Below are 11,279 nucleotides of genomic sequence, written 5' to 3'. Positions count from 1 at the left end.
AGAGGATGCAGCATAATAAAGTCATTGAGACATTACTGTGAGATACTCAGGGAATACCAAGTAATTTGGTGTAAGAATCAGAGTACAAAGTGGGAAGTGGGAGGAGAAGCTGGAAGGTCGGTTGTTGTCTTATTTAGCTACTGCTGTGTGACAAGTCACCCTAAGTCAAGTGGAGTAAACAATAAGTATGTATTATTGTTTATACAAGCCCTCTGGGGGTTTCTGCCAGACTTGGCTGATTTCATCTGGGCTTGAAATCAGCCCAGATGATTTCAAGAGACCTGGGGGATAGGCTGGGGGCTGGCTTGCCTCGGATGGCCTCACCCACACATGTGGTGATTGGCTGGATGTTGGCTGAGACATGAGTCTCTGATCATTTAGTAGACTAGCGTGGGCTTGCTCACGTGGCAGTGGCAGGGTTCCACAAACGTGAGTGGACGTGGACAAGGCCTTTTTAGACCTAGGTTTGGAATTGGTACTCTGTCATTTCTACCACATTCTATTGACCAAAGAAAGTCACAAGAACAGCCTAAATTCAAAGATTGGGGAAATAGACTCCACCCCTTAATGGGAAGAGCTACAAAGTAAAATTACAAAGGGTGGGGATACAGGGAGGGGTCATGAACTAGAGACATGTTTGCACTCCAGCTATTTCCGTTGAGACTAGATAACAAAGAGTTTTCACCATCTGAATGCCAAGTATGGACTTTATTTTGCAAGAATGGGAAGCTCTCAAAGGCATGACAGAAGTTTAGGTCTTAGAAATATAACTGTGATAGTGTGACATGATACAAAGTTTGAAGGGAGGAGAGATTAAAAGCAAAGTAACGTTGAGGAAGTGAATTCAGCAGTACCAGGTGATGTGGGTTTGAACAAAATCTATGATGTTAGTTTAGTCTATCTAGTCTTCCAAGTTAAATCAAGACCACCTCCTCTATTCTCTGTCCCCACCAATTCATTGTGCATAGAGCTTTAAAAATGTGAGTTTAAATATGTGGGTAAGAAATCAATCTAGATGACCTCTAAATTTCTTCTGTATGTTAAGTTTCCATCATTCTAAGAAGAGCCTTGTCTATGGTTGTTTCAAATGCCTTAAGGATAAAATACCGTCTAAAGGAGATTTTTTCTTACATAAAATTTGTGGGGAATCAAGGAGGGTTTTACAGCAAAAGAAAAATGTGATCCGAGCTGCCTATGGGAAGCTAAATTTCACAAATAAGAGTAGAACAGATTAATGGGGGAAAGTTGTAGTGGGAGAACTATTTGGAGTCCATAGACATAGTTCATATACAAATTTATAAGGACGCGGATGAGCCAGCGAGTGGGCAGTTGGGAGTGGGCTGTGGACCCTGGCGGTGGGAGAGGAGGAATGGATCTGCAGGGGGGTTCTATTAAGATTAGAGAGAGGTTGGGCATGGTGGCTCACGCCTGTAATCCCAGCACTTTGGAAGGCTGAGGTGGTTGGATCACCTGAGGTCAGGGGTTCGAGACCAGCCTGGCCAACATGGTGAAACCCCGTCTCTACTAAAAATACAAAAATTAGCTGGACATGGTGGCAGGCATCTGTAATCCTAGCTACTCAGGTGGCTGAGGCAGAAGAGTCTCTTGAACCCAGGGGACGGAGGTTGCAGTGAGCGGAGATCATGCCACTGTACTCCAGCCTGGGTGACAGAGTTGAAACTCTGTCTCTCTGTTTGTTGTTTGTTTAGAAGCATTTTGATGACTAAATAAACATACATTTATTTTTATTTGAGGACTAAATAAACATGTTTTTCTCACATGAATTATAGTGTATTTTTTTCCATATTATTACCTATTATTTATTACTGTCTCTTCTTGGCTATATGAACCCAGGCAACATCTGTGCCTCAATTTCCTCATCATAAAAAAGGGATAATGGGATCGGGCACAGTGGCTCACATTTGTAATCCCAGCACTTTGGGAGACCAGGGCGGGAGGATCACTTGAGCTCAGGAATTCGAGACCAGCCTGGGCAACGTGCAGAAACCCTGTCTCTACTAAAAATACAAAAAATTATCTGGGTGTGCTGGTGCGGGCCTGTAGTCTCAGTTACCAAGGATGCTGAAGAGGGAGAATCACCTGAGCCTGGAACATGGAGGCTGCAGTGAGCCAAGATCGCGCCATTACACTCCAGCCTGTGGGAGAGCGAGACCCTGTCTCAAAGGAGGTGGGGCAGGATAATGGTAGTATTTTTCTCACAGCACTGTTTTGAGGGTTGAGTTAATACATTTAAAGTGCCTTGAATACTGTACGTTGTAGTGTAAGCACGCAATACATTTAGCTTTGAACATTATCTTTTTTATTATTAATATTATAAAAAACATTATTTACCACTATGCTATTGTTTTTACTTTTTTTTTTGAAACGGAGTTTCACTCGTTGCCTAGGCTGGAGTGCAGTGGTGCGATTTCGGCTCACTGCAACCTCCGCCTCCTGGGTTCCAATGATTCTTCTGCCTCAGCCTCCTGAATAGCTGGAATTACAGGCTTGCGCCACCACGCCCAGCTAATTTTTTGTATTTTTAGTAGAGATGGGGTTTCACCATGTTGGCCAGGCTGGTCTTGAACTTCTGACCTCAAGTGATCCACCAGCCTCGGCCTCCCAAAGTGCTGGGATTACAGGTGTGAGCCACTGTGCCCGGCACGAGCATCTCTTTATATAAAATCCTTTTTCCTCTATCTCAGATTACATCCCAGGGACTGAATCCCACAAGGTGAATTACATGGTTAAAAATCACACTCTTTTGGGCTCCATGGCCTTGTGATTTGACTTTTAAGTCTCTGCATTACTCTGTGTGGTTGGAATCAGGGAGATTCAGGCCTAGCTCCAGGCAAAGCAGAGGTGAAGGTGAATGTTACCTAGGTTCCTCCATCCTCCCCTTTCTATGCTGTTTTCATACCTTCCTCTTCATTCATTCCTCAATTATTCCGCAGAGAACTTGCTGTGTAGCAGGTGCTGTGCTGCGCAGTGCTTGAGCAAAGAAAGCCCAGTCCCTGACTTGAAGGAGCTTCAAGTCCAGAGGCATGATTACAATTTGGCAATGCTGTTTTGGTGGGAGAGGACTTGAGCTGAGCTGAGGGAGCAGCAGAGAGCTCCCCCAACTAAAATTCTAAAACTTAGGGGTTCAAGTCTTTCTGGGGGAGATAAAACTTGAGATGAGTCAGGCAGTAGAAGATAGCAAGATACTGACATGAATTTGACTCTGCCATTGTTATTTAGTAAATATGGGGCCTAAGGCAGGTTTTAAACTTCTCTGGGCCTCAGTTTCCTTATACATAAAATGGGGATGAAACTGTTGTGAAAAACAGAGAGAGTTGTTTGTAAAGTTCTTCGTATGCAATAGCTAATAATGATGCAGCACTTTCCAGGTGCCAAGTATTATACTCATTCAATGTATTATTGAATTTTGCAGGCAGTTACTCTCAGGCGATATAACTCATTGAGTCCTCATAACAACCCTACGATGTGGATGCTTCTATTATCCTCATTTTATAAATGAAGAAACTGAAGCCAAATGTATTGTGTTAGACTGTTCTCACACTGCTATAAAGAGCTACCTGAGACTGGGTAATTTATAAAGAGAAGAGGTTTAATCTACTCACGGGCTGTACAGCAGGCATGGCTGGGGAAGCTTCAGAGAACTTACAATCATGGCAAAGGGCAAAGGGGAAGCAAGCACCTTCTTCACTTGGCAGAGCAGGAGGAGAGAGCGAAGGCAGAAGTGCTACACACTTTTAAAGAACCAGATCTCGTGAGAACTCACTCACCATCACAAGAACAGCAAGGGGGAAATTCACTCCTATGATCCAACCACCTCCCAACAGGCCCCTCCTTCAGCAATGATCATAATTCAACAAGAGATTTGGGTGGGGACACAGAACCAAAACAACTAACTTGTTACATCGATCATAAGTGGATAAACTGGGACTTTAACCCGTGCTTTTAACTGCTACACTGTAGAATCGCCATAAAACGTCCCCCCAAATTGTGATTTATTTTTTTTTAAGAGTATATTTTTAATTTTTATTTTTGTTAAAAATTTCAACTTTTAGATACAGGAGGTACATGTGCAGATTTGTTACATGGGAATATCGCATGATGCTAGGGGTTGAAGTATGGATCCCGTCACCCTAGTAGTGAGCATAGTACCCAATAGGTAGTTTTTAAAACCTGCTCCCTTCCCTTTACCCGCTAGTACTCCACAGTGTCTATTGTCCCCATATTTATATCTATGTGTGCTGCTCCCACTTATAAGTGAGAATATGTGGTATTTGGTTTTCTGTTCCTGCATTAGTTTGCTTAGGATTATGGCTTTCAGCTCCCTCCATGTTGCTGCAAAGGACACAATTTCATTCTTCTTCTTTTTTTTTTTTTTTTTGAGATGGAGTCTTGCTCTGTCACCCAGGCTGGAGTGCAGTGGCGCGATCTTGGCTCACTGCAAACTCCGCCTCCCGGGTTCAAGCGATTCTCCTGCCTCAGCCTCCTGAGTAGCTGGGATTACAGGCGCCTGCCACCACAGCCAGCTAATTTTTGTATTTTTAGTAGAGATGGGGTTTCACCATGTTGGCCAGGCTGGTCTTGAACTCCTGACTTCGTGATCCATCCGCCTTGGCCTCGCAAAGTACTGGGATTACAGGCATGAGCCATTGTGCCCAGCCTCATTCTTTTTTATGGCTATGTGTATTCTGTGGTGTATGTGTACCACATCTCTCTATCCAGTCGCCCATTGATGAGCACCTGAGTTGATCCCATGTCTTTGCCATTGTGAACCATTATTAAAAGAGGAAGAGCACACAATGCAGAGGAATCGGCATGTTAAGATCTGGGACATAAGAGACAGTATAACACTGTGACTTAGGCACATGACTGGTTCTGGTGAAATATCATTAAATCAGGCAGGATTTTTAACTACTAGCAATAGAAATGAATTCAAAATAGCGTAAGCTAAAGGGAATTTGTTGGTAACATCCAGGGGCCCACACAATAGACATGAGCCTGAAGGACCAGGCTTCAGAAACATGTAGAATCCATGTAAATCTCAACAGGCATTGTGGGGAAAAAATCATCTGGTGAGCAACACCTAGAAAGAATGACATCCAATCCTAGCCCCAGTTGGCTCACATTCCAAGTCCTGATAGGAAATGTCCTACTGGCCAACCTTAGTATTGCGTGCTAAGACCAGAGGAAGGAGGATCCTAACTCTTCATCTTCTAGTGTGAGAAATGTTTTTCAAGAATTATCCTCTCTCCATGACTACATAGAGGAGGAGAATTATTCCCCTGCCAGCAAATTGAGATGCTAATAGAATGGGGATGGATGTTGAAAGCTCTGTAACGACCTAGACCACTGTATGTATTGAGAGTAATGACAGTTAATGTTGAAGTACCATTCCCTAAGCCATCAAACAGGTATTTATTTGAACTCTGAGACTTTGTGTTCCAAGGAGAGAGACAGAGATGTTTGATCATTTTTCACACTGTCAAAAAAAAAGTAGACATAGGCCTCATTACTCTTGGGAGATTTGAAAGGTTTCTGGAAAAAGATGATAGCTGAAAGATTATTCTTTTTCATCATACATTCAAAGTCTAATGTGGATAGCTCCCTCATCCTTGGCTTTGAAATGACAGTTTACCAGCTTTTTCTCTCTTCTCACAGCTCCTTGATGAAGAGCTGATTCTTGCACCAAAATTAAGGTAGATGACATATCCCCCAAATTACATTTTCTGTTTTATGGCTGACTTCTTCTTTCATACAGAGAGTTGGAGAATTTCAGAAGTGGAGAAACATTAGAGATTACCTAATGTCTTCATTTTCTCGATGAGGAAACTAAGATCCAAAGACATTCTGTGGCCAGCCCAAAGTCAAGCAGAAATGAAACTCATATCTGATCTCAACTCGGTTTTTTCCATCCTAGCACATAGCCAATGAAATAATTTTTTCTCAGATTTTTTTTAAGAGTTTACAACATAATTCAGATACTTCAGAAAACTGAACTTCCAAATTTCTAGGGAATATATTCTCCTCATTCAATAGGAAAATGTGAGTCAGTTTCTCTCTGAAGGAGAGAAAAACTGAAGGTTTTCCTGTACCCCAGTGCTGTTCCCCTTCTCCAGTTTCTGTGGCACTCGGCCCCTGTATCTTGCCAGTGTGCACTCGACCATAGCACAAGGATTGTTATGCTCTGCTCATTTCATGAATATTGTCTGGTGTCCTTGGCTCCTTTATCTTTGCCTAGATACACTGTACCACCTAACAGTATTTCAATCAATGTATGAATGATAACTTGTAGGTTGATTAGTTTGTCAATCGTCTTTGTTTTGCAGCTTACTTCTGCTTTCAGCACTTCTTGATCCTGCTCTCCATGGCCGCGGGCTGCCTGCCTGTCCACTCTAGCAACCTGCTTAGGCTACAGCCATGTGTCTTTCCCATTCCGGCTATCTTCTCAACCATCAGAGTTAGCTCATTATTAGTCTCTTAGGCTTAGTTGCTTTGTTAACTTTGATGATCATATTATTAGGTATACATGGAGAGTGTCTGTTTCAGATACTTATTGCTGCATTATCAATCACCACAAAATGTAGTGACTTAAAACCACAGGCTTTTATTGTTTCTCATGAGTCTACAGCTGATTGGCCCTTCTGATCTGGGTTGAGCATGGCTAATCTTGGCTGGGCTTGCTCATGCAACTGTAGTTAGCTGGCAGATCAGCTGGAGACTTGTTGGTCTAGGGTAACTTTGCCAAAGACAGCTTGACTTGCCTCCACGTGGTCTTTGGTTCTCCAGCAAGCTAGCCCAAGCTTGTTCCCATGGTGGTGAACACACTCAAATAGAGGAACAGGAAACTCAAAGGTTCTTTTTCTTTTTTTTTCTTTTTTTTTTTTTAAGACGGAATCTCACTCTGTCACCCAGGCAGTCTCGACTCACTGCAACCTCCGCCTCCCAGGTTCAAGTGATTCTCCTGCCTCAGCCTCCTGAGTATCTGGGACTACTGGCACATGCCACCACGCCCAACTAATTTTTGGATTTTTAGTAGAGACAGGGTTTCACCATATTGGGCGGGATGGTCTCAATCTCTTGACCTTGTGATCTGCTTGCCTTGGCCTGCCAAAGCAAAAGGTTCTTTTTCTAGCCTCTGCCTGAGTCAAGTTTGATACTGTCTATTGGTGAAAAGCAAGGCACAAGTCCACAGTCAGTGGAGAGAGTGGAGAAATCAGATTCAGGGAGGTGTGAACCTTGAGGCTTCTGGTGCAATCAATCTAGCACAACATCCATATTAAAACAATTTAAAAACTATCCAAGGCCGGGCACAATGGCTCATACCTGTAATCCCAGCACTTTGCGAGGCCAAGGCGAGTGGATCACCTGAGGTCAAGAGTTCGAGAGCAGCCTGACCAACATGGTGAAACCCTGTCTCTACTAAAAACAAAAATTAGCTGGGCATGGTGGCAGGTGCCTATAGTTCCAGCTACTCAGGAGGCCAAGACAGGAGAATTGCTTGAACCCTGGAGGCAGAGGTTGCAGTGAGCTGGTATCGTGCCACTGCACTCCAGCCTGGGTGAAGGATTGAGACTCTGTCTCAAAAAACAAACAAACAAACAAAAACACCAACTATCCAAGCTGGTTGGTTGTCATATATATGCATATACATAAGAATGCATTTGTAGATAAATAGATGATAGATAGATAAAGAATGTCTATGTGTGTGCAATTTTAATCCAAAATAAAAATAATAACCAATGGAGTAGTAATCAATGGAGTAGACATTAGTTGTTTTTGGTCGCCCTTCTCCAGTGTCCATTTGTCCCACTTCTTCCAAAAGTACCTGATTTATTTAGAGGTGAATGACTCCTCCTCTTCTCTTCATGTCTGTAGTTTTGGTGGAGTGACACATGACCACATTTAGTCAAAGCACCTAGCAACGGTCATTGTTCAAGGGATGAGTGCATGTCTCAGGTTAGGCTACTAAGAGACTCAATTCCAGGTCTTTATTTAAAATAGGCTGCCCTACCAAACTTCTTGCCAGGACCTGAACCTAAAAGTAAATAACATGGGAGCAGCTTCAGTCACTTTGCCACTGTGGAGCCAAGAGATGGAGACAAACTCAATTCTGGTGACATTTTTTGAGCCGCTAGATTCATCTATGTCTGAAGCCAGATGTATGATTCATTTATTGATATTTATTGATGGTAATCAGTAAATCTTTTTATTTTATTTAAATGTTAAAAGATTAGTACATATAAAGTACCTAGATCCATTTCTAGCAATAATAAGCACTCAATATGAGCTATTACTTGTTTATAGCAATTTGAGTTGGGTTTTCTGTTATTTGCAATCAAAGGAAGTCTAACTTAGGCAACCAATGAGAGAACAAGATATTAAAAAGAGTCCATTTATAATAGTAACGGGGAAATTACAAACCCGCCCCCCCACCAAATCCATAGGTATTAACCTAGCAAGAAATGAGACCTATACGAAGAAAGTGACAAAGCTTTATTGAGAGACCAGAAGAAGATCTGAATATGTGAAAAGAAACAAGAACCTAGATGGGAAGATTCCATATTTTAAATGGATCAAATATCCATAAGAAAATATACAAATTTGTCTACTGATTGGTTCCTTTTTCTCCATGTCCCACACCCTGATACACCTACCCCAACTCTTTCAAATGCACACTCTTCTTTCTCCTGTAATTGTGTCCTCCTGATTTAACCTTCCCAGTATTCTCCGAATCTGTTTCTTCATCTATATACTCACTTCTACAATTCCAGTTTGGGCCCCTATAATGTGTCACCTGGACTACACTACCAATTTCCCAACAATCTTGCTGTTTCTTTTTCTTTTTGATGCTTTAAATTCAGCCTCAAGTTCCAGCTTTTTTTTTTTTTGAGACAGAGTCTTGCTCTGTTGCTCAGGTTGGAGTGTGGTGATACAATCAGTAGCTCACTGTAGCTTCAAACTCCTGGGATCAAGCAATCCTTATGCCTCAGCCTCCCTACTAGCTAGGTCTACAGGTGTGTACCACCATGCCTGGCTGATTTTTTTTTTTTTTTTTTTGTAGAGACAGGGTCTTGCTTTGTTGCCAAGGCTGGCCTTGAACTCCTGAACTCAAGGGATCCTCCTGCCTTGGCCTCCCAAAGTGTTCAGATTACAGGCATAAGCCACCATGCCTAGCCAAGTTCCAGCTCTTTAACTAAGCCATCATCCAAGATCTAGTTGCCATGATATATGATAATGATTTGTGATCCTAATGTCTGAAAATGGAGTCACTCACGTCAAGTGACATTGAGCCCATGGTGAAGTTGTTTACATCTCAAAGTGATAAACATATGTGTAATGGACTGAGGTAGTAAGACAATACCTGCTGTGGCCTAGAACCACTGAGACATGAAACGAACCAATAAAAAGTAAATTCAGAAAGGTGGCTGAGATACTGAGAATGGACACACCTCTGGAGGACCATAAAGGCAGCAAGAACCTGACCTTGGACAGGACACCTTTTGACCCTCTGACCACCTTTTGAGGCCTCCCCCCAACTTGGCGTTTGCCCCCTCCCCATCCACTCCCAAGGCTCTGTCTAAGAGAAGCAGTGACTTCATTGCTGATTGAAGTCAAGGACTTTGGACCCACTTAGCCATGTGTTGGTCTCCCAACCCATCGCTGTGGTTTGTTACCTCCAATTACTGCTTCTATGGATGTTATACAGGATATTATTGCTTCATTAATCATATGTGACTCTCTTGTAACAAACTGTGAATTTGAGCACATTTAATTGGTTGAGTCATTGTGAAAGTCAGAGTTAGCACATCTAGACTGCACAAACCTAAGTAACACAACACCATTTTTATCCCATGCTCCCTGCTCTCTGACAACACTGAATTGCTTGTAATGTTCTGTGCTCTTTCTCACCTTAGTGCCTTTATTCATGTTGACCCCATGCATGGCCTCTCCCATAATACCTAGGACTTGGTACCAACCATTGCCCTCAGCTCACTCCAGCATAATTAACTGTTTAAATGTCTGTCTCCCAACTCTTGGACCTGCAGGCGAGGAGTAGGTCTTATTCATCTTGTATCCAGGTACCTAGCAGAATGCCTGGCATGTAATAGGCCCTTGATGAAGATTTGCCAAAGCCTGGAAAAGAGAATGCAGGGTTCCCTGACTCTCTGATTGTGCCAGAACAGGAAAAATGAACATTTCTTTGAGGGATATTCCTCCCATGTAACAGGACCATAAGCAAGTCGGCCCCAGGGTGCGTGAAGCTGATGAGCGGGAGAAAATAAAGACACAATATTCAGGGTTGAGCAGTGAGATGGAAAATGAATACGGTCAGTTGTGCTAAAACTATCATTCCTTGCAGCAGCGATAATAGCAAGACATAAATATTCATGATGTCATTATTTAGAGAGTTATGAAGTGTCGGCAGAGGATGTACTGTCTGGAATTTTTGCTTCAGTGCCTAAATTTATTACTGGTAAAATTAAGCAAAACAAAACAAAACAAAACATAAATAAAACGCAGTGGTCTCTGACAGCCAGCGAGACGATGACAAACTCTCAAGGTCATGGCTAAGCAAAAGGAGGGCCCTGGTCAGCGCCAGCCCAGGGGGCTCCTCTGACAAGGCTTTTATCTGGAATATTGCTAGGGTTGGCTATCATTGCTAATGGCAACCTGGCCTGAATACTTAAGAGGGTCTCCTCTTCCTTGCCAAATGCATAAATTCACTCTCCTGAGGCTGTTCTTTCTTTCTCTTAAGGTTATTTGTGTTATTTAAATAAAAACATTTATTATTTTCTCCAGATTACAGATAGCATATATACTCATGAAAGAAAATGTGGTTAACAGAAATAGTATGTATAAAATAAAAATAACTTCTAATCCTACCACCCAAAGATAACCATTTTGGTATATTTTCTTTCAGTTCCATTTCTAACATAATTTAAGTGCTGAACTGGTGGGATGTAGCATATGTTGTGTAATAAAGAACTGAGCTGAGCCAGAAAAGCTGGGTTTGCAGCACGTCTGTGCTAGTTTCTTAAAGCTGGGAAGCTGTAAGCATGGTACTCAGTTTTCTTATTTGTAAAGTATGGATAAAGACAATATACCACAGAATTAGTTTGAGAGTTAAAAGAGAAAATGGGCCGGGCTCAGTGGCTCACACCTATAATCCCAGCACTTTGGGAGGCCAAGGCGGGTGGATCACCTGAGGTCAGGAGTTGAAGACCAGCCCGGCCAACACAGTGAAACCCCGTCTCTACTAA

Source organism: Homo sapiens, chromosome 11 (assembly GCF_000001405.40).
Source record: "Homo sapiens chromosome 11, GRCh38.p14 Primary Assembly".
Lineage (NCBI taxonomy): Eukaryota > Metazoa > Chordata > Mammalia > Primates > Hominidae > Homo > Homo sapiens.
The sequence above is the reverse complement of the archived record's forward strand: the minus strand, read 5'-3'. Positions refer to the sequence as shown.